Source organism: Homo sapiens, chromosome 11, assembly GCF_000001405.40.
Source record: "Homo sapiens chromosome 11, GRCh38.p14 Primary Assembly".
NCBI lineage: Eukaryota > Metazoa > Chordata > Mammalia > Primates > Hominidae > Homo > Homo sapiens.
In genome coordinates, this window is record NC_000011.10 from 107,439,649 (window position 1) to 107,458,401 (window position 18,753).

Here is an 18,753-nt window from a genome sequence, read left to right on the forward strand (position 1 = left end):
GATGTTCCAGGTAGAAAGAATAACAGCACGTTCTTAAAACAACAGAGAAAGAGAAAGTGCAGCAGTTTCAGGAAACTTAGAAATAATTCTAATTGGCTAAAACTGTGAGTGACTAATGACAAGAGATTATGTTGTAGAATAATCAGGGACTGGGCCACGTGAGCCATTTTGAACTGCTATGAGGGTTTCATGCTGGGGCCAAAAGAGACTCATGAATGTGATCAGCTTCATATCACACAAAGAGCAAACTGGGCTCAGCATGGAGGAAAGTCTGGAGAACAAGATCAGAGGCACAAGTTCAGTCAGAAGGCTGTGGCAGTAATCCAGGCAACAGATGATAGTAGCCTAATCACAATGCAAGTGTCTCCTGTGTTCTAAGCACGATGCCAGGCACTGGGACTGTAATGTGTGACGCGGCCATGGTCCTTGCCATTAAATAAATTATGGTCTAGAGAAGGGGGAAAGACAATCAAGCAATATAAATATAGGTATGTGAGATCAAAGTAAAGGGTGCTAAAGAACTACATACTAATGATACCGAAGTTGACCCTGGGAGTGGGGGGTTAGAAAATGCTTCCTACAAGAAGTAATAATGGCAAGAGGATGGCAAGAAATGGAACGAGCTAAATGTTAGGAACTTTAGTTTCCAGGAATACAATATACTACTGAAAATTAAAATGCTCTGTAAAATTTGTTTTTAAAAGGGCTTTTTTAAATGTATCCATGAGCTGACGAAAAAGAACCTTCAAAGGACAAAATTTAAGTTAAAGTTTAACCTAAAGGGATATACAAAACCATACAGATTTGATTTCTTAGTTTGTATCAAAAAAGGTTCTGTCACCTCCCTTGTTAGTTTACCACAAAATCTTTCAATATCTATAGTCAAGGAATTTCTTCCAATGGTCTTAAGACTCTCAAAAATATACACATAAGATACTCAACAGGACAAAAAAGGCTAGAATTGCATACTGAGGACAATTGACAAGAGGCTAGACAAATTATGAGATACTATCTGAAAATGTATAAAAGACAAAGGATTGAAAACATAAATAACTTCTATAAATCAGTTAGAAAAAGACAAACAACCCTGGTAGAAAAGTAAGCAAAAAACATAAATGAGCAGCTCCCAGTACAAGAAATCTGAATGACCAAAAAACATGAAAAGACCTCTCTGGTAGCAATCAGATAAATGCGAACAAAAACAATGAAATACCATTTCTCACCCATTTATTAGGCTGATAAAAAAATATATAAAGTTTGACAATTACAGATACTGAGTACTGGAAAAGAAACATATGCTCCTGGTACAGTATAAATTGGAATTCCAGATTACCAGGATTGTGTGATGCCCCTAGGAAAGTCATCAGCTTCAGCACTTCCTTACTTCTCTGGATTCATGCTTTTGCCTCATTTTTTGGTCTCTACAGATTTCCTATTGCTTCCTTACTAGCAAAGTGACAACAATAAAGTATAAAATAAGCATGCTTATTTTACATTATATCCACCAGAATTTCTAGATGTCTTGAAATGGAAGTATTTTCATGGTGTCTAATTCAGTATGTACACTGAAACAAAAATTGAGTGAGTTCACTTTCAATTTAATGATATTAAACTCAATATTCACTCAACTTTATATATGCCCTAGATTTATAAATCTAGTAAACCTTTAAACTCACTTCCTATAGGAAATTTATTTTTCTTAAACTGATGTATTTCATAGTTGTTCTCACTAATTGTATTAAATACTATAAAAAATAAAATGGTATTTTACAAGTTAAACTGCATTTATATAAATGTCTTGTAAGTTTATTAAAGGTAAATTAGAAAGTTAAAGCATTTCAAATATTCTCTTACCTGTTCAAGCGCTTGGTTTTTCTCTTGCTCTATTTTCCTCATAGTTTCCTTTTCAGCTTTGAGTGATGATGATGACACAGTTTTAACAGACATAAAATCAACAGTCATCCACTCATCCCTCTGTTAAAAAAAAAGACATAAAATCAACAGTCATCCACTCATCATTTCAATCTGAACTGATTAGAATTTAATAAACACTTGGTAATAAGAGCAGGGACTTTGGAGGCAATCAAACCTGAAACAAGTCCTACATGGCTATATAACTTGAAGCAAGCTTCTAAATCTCTCTATACTTTAGTCTCTCCTCTATAAAATGGTATAAAATCCCTACCTTTCAGGATTGTTTTAAAGAGTAAACAAGATAACAGATCTAAAGCATCCAGCCCAAAGCCTGGCACACAACAAGCAATCAAACTTAGTTCCTGTTCACCTTTCTTCCTTCACCTGTGGCTAACAGTGGACAAATTACATTCTTCCTGAGGCAGATGAACTATAGCCCAAAATTTTTGAACTATTCAACTGTTAAGTATTGTTAAGAAAATTAAGGCATGAGGTGAAGGGAAAAAAAACTGTGATGGAACTCCACTCACTATAGAAGGGTCAGACAGAGATACAGTATAAGGCTTTAGGGACATAAGGGGAAAGTGCCACTTCTTATCAACAATCAAAAGCATGAAAGCCTCTAAGGAACGAGAATAGAGAGGAACACTCACTTTCTCACAGTAGAAGGGGAAGGGGGTTCTAAACATTCAGCAAACAGCAGTACTGCCAAAATTATTCCTAAAGTATATTGTTTTCAAAGTCTAATTGTTCTCCTGAAGAAATTTTAATCATCTTTCATTTTCATATTCATTTATTCTCAAAAGTTGATACTTTTTTCTTTAAAACCAAGTGATAGGCCAGGTGCAGTGGCTCACGTCTCTAATTCTAGCACTTTGGGAGGCTGAGGTGGAAGGATTGCTCAAGCTCAGGAGTTTGAGACCCAGTCTAGGCAACATAGGGAGACCCCAACTCTACACAAAATAAAAAAATTAGCCAGGCGTGGTGGGCACACAACTGTGGTCCCAGCTACCAGGGAGGTCGAGGTGGGAGGATTACTCGAGCTTGGGAGGTCGAGGGTGCAGAGAGCTCTGATTGTGCCACTGCGGCCCAGCCTGGGCAACAGAGTGAGACCCTGTCTCTAAAATGAATGAAAGAGAGAAAGAGAGAGAGAGAGAGAAAGAGAAAGAAAGAAAGGAAGGAAGGAAGGAAGGAAGGAAGGAAGGAAGGAAGGAAGGAAGGAAGGAAGGAAGGGAGGGAGGGAGGGAGGGAGGGAGGGGGAGGGAGGGAGAGAGGGACAGAGAGGGAGGGAGGGATAGAGAGGGAAGGAGGGAGGGAGGGAGGAAGGAAGGAAGGAAGGAAGAAAGCAAGGAAGGAAAATCAAGTGGCTTGCTTACCTTGATAATTTGGGTGTCATCTTTTCCTGACTTTTCATCTTTCACTTTCCAGGCTTTTTCCTTGTCAGGAGTCTGGGATGGAACAGCCTCAACCCACTCATCTTCAGAGCTCTAAGAACATTTAGCATATAAGTGAAATTGTCAAATTTGCATACTTTGATATAAAAATTCTGTGCTGTTAAGTGGTAGAAATTCAACATCGTAGAAAAAAATTCTTACACTGTATTTCCCCTTTACAAAATGGCAATGAAATTTTAAAGAGCTGGGTGTGGTGGCTCACACCTGTAATCTCAGCACTTTGGGAGGCTGAGGCAGGCATATTACTTGAGGTCAGGAGTACAAGACCAGCCTGGCAAACATGGTGAAACACCATCTCTACTAAAAATACAAAAAAGTTAGCCAAGCGTGGTGGCGCATGCCTGTAATCCCAGCTGCTCAGGAGGCTAAGGCAGGAGAATCGCTTGTACCCAGGAGGCAGAGGTTGCAGTGAGCTAAGATCACACCACTGCACTCCAACCTGGGCCACAGAGACTCCGTCTCAAAAAAAAAAATTTTTTTAAAGAAAAAACATATAAACCCACTAGTTTGAGTTAAGCCCACCAAACACAACCAAATTATTTTTATTTTCTCATCCATTTATTATCAAGCCAAGAGAAGGCAAAAAAACAAAAATGGGAACTGCCAAGTAGAGACCTCACTTCAGCACAGAGCTTCAGTGACTACCAACGTCAAGTAGTTACTCACATCTCTGCTTCACTAGAACAGGGGAAACACCACCCAGGTAAACGAATTTGCTGTTTGCCCCTAAGTTTCACATTTTGAGATTTCCCTTGATCTAAAACTGCAGATAACATTATCTTCTTCAACACCCTCCTGAAGCTTTATACCAATTCCCATATTCTCAGCAAATGATGTCTTCTTTTACCTCATCAAGAAAACTAGGGCCACCTTATCCTCCTACCCACCGCCCAAAACATTTATGGCTGTGCCTATCCTTATTTCCAGTTAACTCCTCCTATTTAAGGCAGATCTTGCTCTAAAGATTTTGATAACTCTTTCTGTTCCTCCAGGACCTTGCTCCATCAATTATCTTCTCCTCTCACGGCATTAACCAAAGATCCCTAATGGCCTAGAAACAATTTCAAGCATTTCCCACCCTTTTTTTTTTTTTTTTAAGGAGGGAAGGGGGACCTTCCTTGACCCCGTATATTCCTCCTCTAGCAGGAATTAATCTTCCGGCTTCCATTCTCAGATGAACTTCTTGAAAGAGTAGTCTACATGCACCGCCTTCACACTCTCACTTTCATACATTTTCTCAAAACTCTACAATACATCTACTGTCCCCATTAATCTACTGAAACTTCTCCAAACTCACCAGTGGCTTCCACTGTGCCGAACTCAACAAAACGTTTCAGTCTTCAGCTCTCTAGACCTCTCTGCTTAATGCAACTCTGTTGATAACTCACTTTCCTGGCTTCCATGACACCTCTCAGCTCTCCTCCCACTCTGTTTCTTCTCCATTTCCTTCATGAACTCTTCCTCCTTTGCTTAGCCCTTAAATATCTTGTTATTTGGGATTCCATTCTTTGCCCATGACATTTTTCAATGTCTAAACATTCCCTTTGGGCCATTAAATCCATTCTGATCGCCTGAACTACAATAAATTGTGCTGATATCTTTCAAATTTGTCTAACCAAAGTTTCACTGACTAATTGTCTACTGCAGTTGGATGGCATGCTAAACTCAGTAAGAACAGAAGATAAAGCTATCCTCTTCTTCTACAAAATCTACTTCTCCTTGTATAGTATTGAACTGAGTTATCTGGAACAACCAACCACCCACTTAAACCAAGTCAGAAACTCAGGATGATGTTACCTCACATATTCAAGCCTACCATTTTCATTTTTAAAATATTTATTAAATATACCATAGAGTGAATACATGATTACCATACGAGCCTACCTCTATCCCTGGCCACTACTGATTAGTTCAAACGTAGGTACCTGACCCAATTCACATCAACCTGAGCCATTCCACAGGAATCTGAAATCAGGTCTAAATGGGCTTATCTAAAACTAAGAAATGGGAAGGCATTGGGAGAGGCCATTTCTGTCATGAGAAATAGAAATCAGCAAAAATTTTTTAAAAACTAGAACTCAGGGTAGGGGAAATGAAAAATGGCAAGAAAATTGCAAAAACCATTCACAATTCTAATTCCAGCTATTCTTGAAGCCTAGCTGCATTCCTACATCTATATGTCTTATGAGAATTTTGTACTTTAATAATAAATCCTTTTTGCAAAATCCAATTTATATTTAGTTTCTGTTACCTGCAACCAAAATACCAACTAATATTCTCTTCTTTGATCCTTAAAGTAGCACCCCAGGCTGGGCGCGGTGGCTCACGCCTGTAATCCCAACACTTTGGGAGGCCGAGGCGGGTGGATCATGAGGTCAGGAGTTCGAGACCAGCCTGGCCAAGATGGTGAAACCCCATCTCTACTAAAAATACAAAAATTAGCCAGATGTGGTGGCGCATGCCTGTACTCCCACCTACTTGAGAGGCTGAGGAAGGAGAGTATCTTGAACCCGGGAGGCGGGGGTTGTGGTGAGCCAAGATCGTGCCATTGCACTCCAGCCTGGGGGACAAGAGCAAAACTCCGCCTTAAAAAAAAAAAAAAAGTAGTAGCCCTAGATCAGATCTTATCTCTCACCTAAACAACTGATTCCAGGAGACCTAATTAATCTCCTGGACTCATCTTTCCTGCTCCCCTTCTTTCTCCAACCCCTCACCCCAAATACATTTAGAGTAATATAAAGGGAACATCTGACCACCGTACTTCTCTTCTAGGGCTTCCCATTACAAAGACTGCTAGTTATCCCTCTTCTTTCCTACCAACAGAATCCCATTTTATTTGGAGAAGTAATGTACTTCCCATGCTAGAAAGTGAAGCCTTATGATCAAGTGTCCAATTAGATGTAAACAAAAGTATTTTATGGGACTTTCTGGAAGTCAAGTTAAGAAAAAAAAGAGCATCTTCTTTCCTGTTATCTGGACTAAGAGGCAATGCTGTAAGGATGATGGAAAAGCAAGACAATAGAAGCCTAGGTCCCAGAAGACCATACTAGCCCTAGACTGTCTACCTGACTTATTTCATATCAGAAAAAAATGAATTTCTATCTTGTATAATCAATGGCTATTCTGAGATTTTCTAATAAATGCAGCTGAACCCAATTAGATGATACATTCCCTACTGAATAAAGTCAAAGCTCTTGGTTTACAAGGCCCTATTAATTCTTACAGTTTCATCTCCATTCACCCCCTCCTCTTGTTTTATAATTTAGTACTATCAAATTGCTTATAGTTATATTTACATACATACACACATACTCACACTCATATTATCTCATACTTCCATGTCTCTGCTCTCGCAATTCCTTATGCATGAAATGCCAAGCACACCTTTATTTGCCTAATGCTTACTAATCTATCTAGTCTCAATTCAAGCATCATTTAATCAACAAGTTAGCAAATGAAATCCCTCTTAATACCCTGTACTACCATGGCATCATGTTGGATGGTATGCTAAACTCAGTAACAACAGAAAATAAAGCCAACATCTTCTTCTACAAAATCTACTACAAAATCATATTATTAATATTATGTATCTATTTATCCAATTAGGAAATGAGTTCCCCAAAGGTTTAAAAATATATTTTTATATTCCCCATGTCTAGAACAGTGTCTGGCAAAGAATAAGCATTTGATAAATGCAAGCTGAAATTAAATGAAATGTCTTTTTCTACTCTTTCAATAGCACTAGTCAGAAACTTTTAAGCAGCAACCTATACTCATTTTCACAATTATGCACTCACTCACCTTACCACTTCAGCAAAATTGATGCTCCCCATGCTACGACTTCAGTTCTCTTGCTAATTTTAGTTTCAATCTCCATTTTACCTTGAACTCATTAACTATCAAGCTTAATACGCCTCCTGACCTAACACAGCCTTCAGGGCTCTCCTTCTCTTGTGCAGCCTGCAGAATTAACCACACCTCTAATTCTATCTAGTGGTCAAAACCTAGAAGGTGGAACTAAGACAGAAAAGTGCTACCAGCAAAACTCAAGGGATCTTGAGGACTTCTGCTTCTGTCCTTGACAAAATAAATGGCATCAAACTAGAAATACATACAAATTGGAATAAAAATGAAACTACAATCTCTACAGCTTTTTATCTAAAGGCACTTTCTAGACTGTGGCATAGAGGGGTAACCCAAGCAGAACATGAAAATCTCACTGAGCAAAGGAAACGGAATTTGAACTTTGTGAAGGCTGAAACAAAAGTACAGATGGGAAGTTACACAGAGAAAGGGTGCCAGAAATCTACTTAAAGGACCCCTGGAGTCTTTAAAGAAAGACCAAGCTGAACATGCTGAGGATGAGAGTCCACAAGGTCAGGCAAAGAAAAATTACCATGGAGAAAACAATTACCAAAGAGCTGTAAGCAGAACAATCCCCAGAGCTCACAAAGGGCTGGAAGACATTCTAGTTCCTCCCAACCAGAATAAAGAAACCTCGCTGAACATCCATGACAATCAGCAGAGAACCCACAAAGGTCATGCCTTAGTAGAAAGGCTAAACCAGTCCTAGAGTAAAGCTATTCTAGGTGCATACGAACAAAACTTAAAAACAATCCTTGAAAAGGATTAAGCTAATTCACAAGTAATTAACTGTATGCCAAAAGGAAACTCAATACTCTCTGAAGAAGTCAACAAAATCCAGCAGTCACAATATAAGTTTCATAGGGTTCAGCATCCAATTAAAAGTTACTAGACATTCAAAGAAGCAAGCAAATGTGACCCATATTCAAGAGAAAAATCATTTAATTGAAACAGAACAGGAAAAAACAAGAGAAAATGAAACAGCAAACCAAGACTTTAACACAGCTATCATAAATATGTTCAAGGAAGGGAAAATGTAAAGATAATGAGGAGATAAACTGAAAAACATTAGAAAGATCCAAACGAAACATCTAATGATAAAAAAAAAATACAGTACCTGAAATGAAAATGTCACTGGATAGGGATAACAGTAAGCTAGACACAGCAAAAGAAAAGGCCAGTCGGCCAGGCGCAGTGGCTCACACCTGTAATCCCAGCACTTTGGGAGGCTGAGGCAGGCAGATCACGAGGTCAGGAGATCCAGACCATCCTGGCCAACATGGTGAAACCCCATCTCCACTAAAAATACAAACAATTAGCTGGACGTGGTGATGAGCACCTGTAATCCCAACTACTCAGGAGGCTGAGGGACGAGAATCACTTCAACCCAGGAGGCGGAGGTTGCAGTGAGCTGAGATCACGCCACTGCACTCCCGCCTGGCAACAGAGCGAGACTCCGTCACAAAAAAAAAAAAAAAAAAAAAAAAAGGCCAGTAAACCTGAAGCTCACGACATAGCAATAAAATATACCCAACCCAAGGCATAGAAAGGAAAAAGGCTAGAAAGTAAGTGAACACAGGCTCATCAACCTGTGAGACATTATTTTAAGGAGACTACCAAAATGAGAGGGAACAGAAAAAAAAAATACTTCGAAAAAAGCCTGAAAGTTTCATATTTGATGGAAACTGTAAACTCACAAATCAAAGCAGCACAATGAACCTAAGGCAGATGCTACACTCTGAATGTTTGTGTCCCCCACCAAATTCTTATGTTGAGATCCTGACTCCCAAGACAATGATAATAGGGGCTGAGGCCTTTGGGAGATGACTGGGAATGGGATTAGTGCCCTTATAAAACATAGCCCAAGAGCACTCCCTTCTGCCATATGAGGTTAGAGTGAGAAGACAGCCATCTCTGAGGAACTGAACCCTCATCAGACACAAAGTCTACCAGCGCCTCGATCTTAGACTTTCTAGCCTCCCAAACTGTGAGAAATAAGTTTCTGTCATTTATAATCCACCCAGTTAGTTTTGGTATAGCAGCCCAAATGAACTAAGACAGTAGAATAAACACAAAGAAATCAATACCAAGACATATCACAATTGATTCACTGAAAAATAATGATGAAAAAAAAAGCCCTAAAAGCATCCAGAATAAAAAGGCACACTACATACAGAGAAAAAATATTACAATGACTACAGAGTTCTCAATATGTACAATGCAAACCAGAAGACAATGGGATGACATTTTACAGTGCAAAAAAAAAAAAAAAAAGAAAACACTATAAACTTAAAATTCTTTATCTAGCCAAGTATCTGAAAAATGAAGATTGCTAGTAGGAACTTCTGAGTTTGTGGTAAAAGAAAAAAAGAATGAAGATGAAATAAAAGAAATTTTCAAACAAAAGCTGAGAGAATACAATGTCTGCAAATCCATATTATAATACATGTTAATGAAAGTTCTACAGACAAAAGGAAAATGGTATTAGACAGAAATTCAGACCTACATAAAATAATAAAGAATATCAGAGATGATAAATCTGTGGGTAAATATAAAAGACTTTCTTCATATGTGTAACTTATTTAAAAGATAACTGACTAAAGTATAAATAAAAAGAATGTATGACATTAAAAATTATAAACAATGTGGGTTTATAACATATGTAGAAGTAAAATATATGACAACAATAGCAAAAAATATGGTAGGAGAAAATGGAAGTATATTTTGGTGAAAGTCTAATTATAAAAGTAAAATTATATATTATTTGAGAGTATGGTAAGTTAAAATATGCATAAGACTTAAAGCAGTCATTAAAAATAAATAAGGTATACCTAATAAGCCTACAGCAGATGAAATGGGATGCTAAAAAACACTCGATCCAAAAGACAGGAAAAGGAAGGAACAAAGGAAAAAAGAACAAAGAAAAAATAGAAAAGGAATAACAACATGGTAGACTTAAACTCATCCATATCAATTATTACATTAAACATAAATAATCCAAACCAGTACTATTCAAAGAATTTTTCTATATACTGTCGAATATAGTAGCCACATAAATTTGGCTGATATAATTTTAATGAATTTTAACAAAAAATTTAAAAGCCATAAACAGCTAACAGATTAGAGAGCACAAAAAACATCTAATTGAAAAGTAAGAGACGTGAGCCAAGATTGCGGCACTGCACTCCAGCCTGGGTGACAGTGTGAGACTCCATCTCAAGAAAAAAAAAAAAAAGGAAGAGGCCAGATGCAGTGGCTCACATTTGTAATTCCAGCACTTTGGGAGTCCCAGGTGGGAGGATTGCTTAAGGTCAAGACTTTGAGACCAGGCTGGGCAACATGGCAAAACCACATCTCTACAAAATATATATAGATCATAGGCTAGAATATAAAATGTCTCAAAAACTTTTTAACAACTGAAATTATACAGAGTACAATAAAATAATAATTAAATCCAAAGTCAATAACCAAAAAAACCTAATAAAATCCACAAATATCTGGAAATTTAAAAACTCATATATATATATCCTGGACGTCGAAGTGCACACCCGTAGTCCCAGCTTTCAAGAGGCTGAGGTGGGAGAGTCACTTGAGCCCCAGGGGTTGAAGCTGCAGTGATCTACTACACTCTAGCCTGGGCAACAAAGCAAGACTCTGTCAATCAATCAATAAATCAATCAATCAATAAAATAAAAAAGAAGAAATTGATAGGCGAGATAAAAAAGCAAGACCCAATTATACACTGCTTACAAGAAATACACTTTCAATATATAAAAAAGGTACATTAAAACTAAAAGAATTTTAAAAAGACGATGAAAACACACAAAAAAAGAAAACTGAAGAGGCTTTATTAATATGAGATACAAGAGACTTCAGACAAGAGTATTACCAAAGATAAAAACGAAAACTTCGTAACAACAGTCAGTTCATCAAGGAGCTGTCTATGTACCTAATAAAGCTTCAAAATTACATAAGGCAAAAACTGACAAAACTGAAAGCAGAAATAGGTAAAATCCACAAAACAATTAAGAGATTTCAATACTATTTTCTCAGTAACTGACTGAACAGGTGAACAGAAAATCATTAACACTAAACTTAATACTATTAGTCAACTTTCCCTAATTGACATTTATAAAACACTATACCTAACAATGGCAGAATACATACTCATTTCAAATACATATGGAATTTTCACCAAAATAGATCATAGGCTAGAAAATAAAATGTCTCAAAAACTTTTTAAAAACTGAAATTATACAGAGTATAACATAATAATTAAAATCAAAGTCAATAACCCAAAAAAAAACTAGAAAAATCCACAAATATCTGCAAGTTTAAAAACTCTTATATATCCATGAGTAAGAAAAAGTAAAGTAAAAAATATTTTGAATGGGACAGCAATGAAAATATAACATCAAAGTTACGTAGAGATACAACAGTGCTATGAGAAAATTTTATAAAATAAATACACGTTAGAAAAGATTTCAAATCAGTGGCGATACATTCATCTTAGAAAGTTAGAAAAAGAAGAGCAAATTAAACACAAAGTATTCGCAAAGAATAAATATAGTTTAAATCAATGAAATAGAAAACACACAACCAGAGAAAATTCAAGGAAACTAAAAGGCAATAAAGAAAGATTAATAAAACTGATAAGCCTCAAGACAGACTGACAGAGGAAACAAACAGAAAATAGAAATTACCAAAATCAGGGATGAAAGAGGGGTATCACTATGGATTCCGTAAACATTAAAAGAACAAAGGAAATATTACAAATAACTTTATGACAATAAATTTGACAATTTCTATGGAATAAATTCCCAGAAAAACCGAAATTACTAAAACTAACTCAAGAATAAACAGAAAGTATTTAACACAACTATTAAAGGAATTAACTCTGTCGTTAAACCCATTCCACAAAGAAACTCCAGGACCAAACCGTTTCACTGGCAAATTTTAACACTTATAGATGCAAAAAAAGCACTTACCAAATTCAATACTCATTCAAGATACAAACTCTCAGAAAACTAGAAATAAAATGTCATTTCCTTAATCTGAAAAGGCATACATGAAAGTCCCACAGCAGACATCATGCTTAAATGTAAAAACCTGAATGCTTTGCACCTAAGATAAGGAAAAAGGCAATCATGTCCACTCTCACCACTTCCATTCAACACTATTTTTAAGTCCTAGCTACTGAAATAAGGCAACAACAATTAACAAATAAAACAGGCACAGAGACTGAAAAGAAAAAAGTAAAAGTCTTTTTCACACATGACATACCATTTACCTAGAAATCCTAAGAAATCTACTAAAAAAGCTACTAACACTAGTATTAGTAATTTTAACATGGTGATAAGAGGCAAGGTGAATATATCAAAAGCAGGTTTTTTTTCACTTTTTTCTTTTTTTTCTGATCCTAATGTTTCAAGTCACTTCTATAATTACATACTAGCTGTAAACACATTTAATTTAAAATTCCACTCACGATAGCACTTCCAGAAAACAAAATGGAAAAAAAATAACAAACGACATGTAAGATCTCTACACTAAAAATTTCAGAACATTGTGAGAAAAATCAAAGACATAAATGGATAGAGAGATGTACCAAGTGCATAATGGATTGAAAGAATATTTTAACATATCTATCTCCCTAAATTCCTTCCAATAGGGAAAATTCAGCCTTTTCAACAAATGATGCTAGAAAAACTGGAAATCCACGTGGGAAAAAAATAAACTGACACTACACAACATAAATAAAAATTATTAATGGATTATAAATAAGCAAAAAAGCCAAAGCTATAAAACTTCTAGGGAAAAAAAATAGGAGGCCAAGCATGGTGGCTCACACCCGTAATCCCAGCACTTTGGAAGGCTGAGGCAGGAGATCACTAGAGCCCAGGAGTTCGAGACCAGCCTCGACAATATAGTAAGACTCCATGTCTACAAAAACAACTTTTCTGTACTACATCTGTAGTCATAGCTAATTGGGCTGCTAAGGCAGCAGGATTGCTTGAGCCCAGGAGTTTGAGGCTGCAATGAGCCATGATGGTGCCACTGCACTCCAGTCTGTGCAACATAGTGAGGCTCCATCTCTAAAAACAAACAAAAAACAAAAAAATTTAATAATAACATAAACATAGGAGAAATCACAATCTTGAGGTGCGCAAAAATTAGGATACCAGAAGCACTAAGAAAAAATGATGAAAAACAAAAAAGAAAATATTTAATAAATCAGATTTCACAAAGACATGGAATGCCCTATGGGGACTTAAAATGATGCTCTACATCCTTGTTCTTCAGAGAAATATCACACGAGACATTACACAGTAGAATAGCTAAAAATTACTAAGACTGACAATACCAAGTACTAGCAAGGATGTGGAATTCCTTGGTGACTCCTAGTGCTAAACTTGCCTCAGAGCCAATGGACAGGTGGTTGGGGGGCAACTGGTGCAGCTAAGGGAGTGCTTACACCACCTCTCCCCCAACCCAAGGCTGCACAATGTGCAGCTCCAAAAGAGACCCTGTCCTTCTGCTTGAGGAGAGGAGAGAGAAGAGTAAATACAGGACTCCATCTTGCATCTTGAATACCAGCTCAGCCATAGCTGGTAACCACTAAAGAGCCCTTAGGCCCTGAATAACCAGCACCAATAATCGGGTACTACACTGTGGCCTTCACTGTGTATCTGAGACTTGCTGGATTCAGGTGAGACTCAGCACATTCCCAGCTGTGGTGGCTATGGGGAGAGCCTCCTTCTGCTTGAGAAAAGTAAAGGGGGCTCTGTCTTGCGCCTTAGGTACCAGCTCAGCCACAGGGTGGTAGAACACCAAGAGGGATCTTGGGGTCTCCAGCCCCACGCCTTGGCTCTTGGATAGCATTTCTGGATCTGCCCTGGCCCAGGGGGTGCCCACTGCCCTGAAGGGTGAGTCCCAGGCCGGGCAGCTGACTGAAGAGTTCTTGGGCCTTAAGGGAACATCAGTGGTAGCCTGCCAGTACTACCTGTGGGTCTATGGTGGTGGCTACAGGGTGAGGCCCCTCTGCCTGTGAAAAGGGAAGAGTGGGAAGGACTGCCATTCATAGGTTGAATGCCAGCTCAGCCACAGTTCAATAGAACACCAGGTACAAGTCTAAGGTTTTTGACGCCAGTACCTGGGTCCCTGATGGCACCTCTGGACCCACCCTCAGGCCTGGGGGAACTTGCCACCCTGAAGGGAAAGACGCAGGCCTGGCTGGCTTCATCACCTGCTGATTGCAGAGCCCCAGGGCCTTGAGTGAACACCAGCTGTAGCCAGGTAATTGTTACAGCAGGCCTTGGGCAAGATCCAGTGCTGTGCTTAGCAATAATTCCCAAATCATATCCCTATCCTCTTAGCCTTTCTCTGAAATTCAAGATCAACATTTCCAATATTTTCTGGACATCTCTAAGTAGATGTATCCCAGATATTTTCATATCATAACTAGTAATATATTTTTTACGTTTTCTTGTATTTTAACTTCCCATAAGTTACACATTCAAATAAAATGTTCTCAAATAGCTGCTTTGATTAATTTTAGTACATACTTACTGATGAGCTATCAGATGACTCATTGTTTTTTTCATATTTCTGTTTCTTGCTCTTTTTTTTCTTTTCTTTCTTTGCTTTTTTTGAATGCTTGTCTTTTTTCTTCTTTTTCTTCACAGAGTGTTCCTACAATCATTTTGAACAGGCAAGAAAATAATTTAATTTCATCTTAATTTAAAAGGATGTATTCTGAGAGAAAAAAAATAAACCACATTCTAAAAAACTTTCAATCTCTGATGAAATAAGACCAAGAATATGTCTAAATAAATAAAATCTTTCAGGAAATCTTAACACACCTTCTATAATATATGCACTATCAATAAATCATATAACTGAGACTTCTTACCAGAAAAATACTGGGAAAATTTTGGCTTTATTTGTAGATTAATGTGACAAATATAATCAAATAAACACATATATACACAAACATGTATACATGCATCTATACACACACAAACACACATACATATAATATCCCTCTATGGTCTCCCCAAAAATTTATACAAGACTATTAGGCCATAAAAAATATAACAAGATAGCACAAATTAAAATTATAGGAAGAGGCTAGGGGAAGGAGCAAGGATAGGGAAAGGGAAGATGTTGATCAAAGGGTACAAAGTTTTCATGACACTAGAAATAAGTTTTAGTGATCTATTACTGATGACCACATTTAATAATAAGGTATTATCTATTTCAAAGCCATTGAAGAACAGACTTTTAACGTTCTCACCACAAAAAAATAAGTTGATGAGGTGATGGATATGTTCATTAGCTTGACTGAATCTTTCTATAATGTATACATAGATCAAACCATCACACTCTAACCCATAAATTTACACAATTATTATTTGTCAATTAAAAATAATTTTTAAAAAAATTATAGGAAAACAGGCTTGAGACCTAAAAAAATAAAATAAAATAAATACATAAAGCTTAAAATGCATAAATTTTTAGGCCTATAAGCTTGCTATAGTGGGCCAGAAATTTGAAGCTGTCTTCTACTAGCCAAACTCAAATAACAAAACTTGAGTCATAATGTCCAAAATATTACAATATCTTACCTCTGCCAAAGAGATGAAACTATTCAGCAATGCCAACTATGTGATATTCATTTTGTAACTTATGAAAACATTCTATAAAATTATTCATCCAATATTAACTTGAATACGTGCAAAAAAGGACAGATATCCTTACATCACGTAAACCTGTTAGTATTCACCTGTGAGAACTGTTCAATTCTCTCATTCACATCAGGTAGCATCCATGTATCCTCACCCCGAAGTCGCTTAAGTTCTTTACGCCTTTCTTCTTTTTCAAAATTGGCTTTAGCCTACAACCAAAGAAAAAAAAAAGACAAACTGGCAATTGACCCAACTGGGTTTCACAAAAAAAGGAAAACAAAAACCTCTGTCATTTTTATACAAAAATATCCACTCATGAATGAATGTCTATTCCTTGCCAGGGATTTGCTTCTCCAGTGTAAAAAAATAAAAAAATAAATAAATAAACAAAACAAAGCAAAAATCTCTCCTTCTGCATTTCCAATCTCCAGTGATTTGAGTTACCAATCAGAGAGAATCCAGGGACTGAGTCCAGGCCCTCCCATCTCTCTAAGCTCCCTAGCTCAATATGACTTGGAATCCCTTTTCCCTTCACCATTCCCATGGCTACTGCCTTAAGACTTTTGCAACAGTTAGACCTCCACGCCTTCAATATGCAATGCCTGTAGCCCCAATACCCAGCCCCAAAAATGCCTCAGGAAGAATCATCTCTGTATAAAGAAAGGATCATATTGGTAATTTTTATCCATTCTTCAATGATAGTCAAACAAAGCAAGTTTTTCCTAGGAAATCGTTCCTGCCCTCTTTCTTTCCCTGTAACTCCAAAGCTCAGTTTGGTCCTTTTCAAATTCTATGCATATCTCTACTATAAGATTTATCTCAACTTACGAAACTTACTCCCTCCAAAAACTGCTGGAAATACCAAAGAGAAAAGAATGAATAATATATATATACCCACACACACACATTACATATGTTGAAATTACGAAACAATACCAACATTTCACCTACCCAAGACTAATCGCCCACTCTTCCCCTTTAAAACCTGGCTGTAGTCATTTTCTTTTTTTTTTTAATCAAATATAAAAATAATTTATTAAAGGTTTATATCAGAGAACTGCTGAAGCAACAAGAACTAGAAGAGTTAATATTCCAGAAAAGGGAAAATCATGGAGAGGTAGTCCAACATTCTGCAGCTAGCTTTTCCCTGGGTGCATATAATAATTCTTGGTGTAGGCAAGAAGATGAATACAATGGTTATATACCAAACAGAAAAATCGATATCAGAGAAAAGAGCAGGGCTTATGATGGACTCCAAAGAACAGGGTGAGAAAATTGGAGATTAAAGGAGAATGGGGCTGCTTCACCCTCAAATTATTTGCCAAATTTTGAAACTATGTCATTTTCCCTTTAGAGTCTCCTCTCCCTCTTCTCTGCTGGCTCCTTCTCATTTGCATTTAAACTTGTTTAAAACTCTTCCAACTTAAATAAAAACAAAAACCCTCACTGAATTCTCTGTTGCTCTCCAACTGCAACTTTTCTCTTTCATTGCCACACTTCTTACATATTGAATAGATTGTCAGATAATTCAGAAGCTTACTTTCTCCATTCTTTGTATGTTACCTCTATGTATCTGAAGTTTAGTGAGAAATACAATGTTTCGCGATCTTTTGTGACAGGCTAAATATACTGAGATTGGTGTTAACTTTTGTTTGGATTGGTAAGAGCTTACAGTAAGTCTGGAATTGATACCAATAGAGACAGGAGGAGGAAATGTCAAACTGAGTCTATTCAAGTGTGACTTGAATGTGTTTCCGAAAAAGGAAAATCTCATTTCAGATACAGCAGTAGCAATGACTGAGGCTGCGAGACATGCTGGCAGAGTCCTTACAAGCCGCAGGGGACCTACAAAGTGTGCAGTCCGAGTGATAGAAATGTAAAGAATGGGTAACTTAAAAGGTAAAGAAACTTGGAGAAAAAGCGACAGATCTGCCTGAAAAGAGAATTAGCAACTGGCACCTGCCAGAACATCTAAAAAATCGGTAGCTACAAAAGGGTTTACCGGCATTGCAAAGGGAGAACTCACCCAAATTAAGGTGAGATTCAGTACTGACGAGGTAAGGGAAGGGGTGAGTGGGCTAGCTTACGGGAACCCTCAACTCCCACAACAATAAATAACTACAAAAGCCCCAAAACAGAGGTACCTGGCGCAACACCTCGGCCCTGGCATTCCGGGTCTGTTCTTTCCGCTCTTCGATACTCTTCGCACTTTCAAATCTACCACTAGCAGCCGCCATACTTGTTGCCATCGTAAAGCTAAGAAGCCGCAAGAAAATTCTAGTTTACGACGGTCGTAATTTAACAAACAAACCGGGACTTCCGGACCCGAGGAAGGAGGAGCACGGCTCCACCAACAGGGCATGCGCACATCTGAGGTCGCTTAGGGCTCGGATTACCGCAGCCCAGATTTTAAAGACCCGAAGGGTGTTGGAGGGTTTAATTCTTTCAGGTGTTGGGTGCGATTGTGAGCAGGATTAATACCCGTATATATTTATTATGCACTTTTTACTATATTAACAGCTTTCTCACCAATTTCGTCTTAAAATCACCGGAGTAAGTTACAAGCTCTTGGAAGTTAAGTTGGTACCTCTCAAAAGTTTTCTGCGGAAGTACCCTTTGTCGCCAGAGCATCATTTCCCTGTGCTGGAGGAATGGGATAAAGGGAGGCTGCCAGAAAGGTAGTGGCAGCTGGCAGGAAGGACAGAATTGCCTTGAAGATTCAGTGTTTTGTTTTGGTGGATTTTACTTAATATATGAAACACTCATGTGAATTTTGCATTGCACTTCACAATTTACCCGTGCTTAACTTGTTAGAAGTTTACATTATATTTTTT

The 18,753-nt window shown here is 37.5% G+C and overlaps 1 protein-coding gene across 3 annotated transcripts in view, besides 1 other annotated feature; it reads right to left on the reverse strand.

Moving 5' to 3' along the window:
* CWF19L2 (CWF19 like cell cycle control factor 2) overlaps window positions 1-18,177 on the reverse strand; it is a 131,466-nt gene extending 113,289 nt beyond the window's left edge. For all 3 annotated transcript variants that reach the window (XR_007062452.1, NM_152434.3, XM_011542620.4), the window contains exons 1-5: window positions 18,064-18,177; window positions 16,018-16,128; window positions 14,802-14,924; window positions 3,291-3,401; window positions 1,855-1,974 (exon numbers count right to left, since the gene is read on the reverse strand). Coding sequence is in view for 2 of the 3 variants with exons in the window: in NM_152434.3 (NP_689647.2) it covers window positions 1,855-1,974; window positions 3,291-3,401; window positions 14,802-14,924; window positions 16,018-16,128; window positions 18,064-18,168 (570 nt within the window). In the remaining variant the exon portion in view is untranslated. The remainder of the gene's footprint in view (window positions 1-1,854; window positions 1,975-3,290; window positions 3,402-14,801; window positions 14,925-16,017; window positions 16,129-18,063) is intronic.
* Window positions 17,956-18,461: an enhancer, noted in NCBI's record as "H3K27ac hESC enhancer chr11:107328330-107328835 (GRCh37/hg19 assembly coordinates)". NCBI's record gives its function as "activates a minimal SCP1, AML or CMV promoter by ChIP-STARR-seq in naive H9 embryonic stem cells {active_cell/tissue: H9 hESC(naive)}" and the evidence as "EXISTENCE:reporter gene assay evidence [ECO:0000049][PMID:30033119]".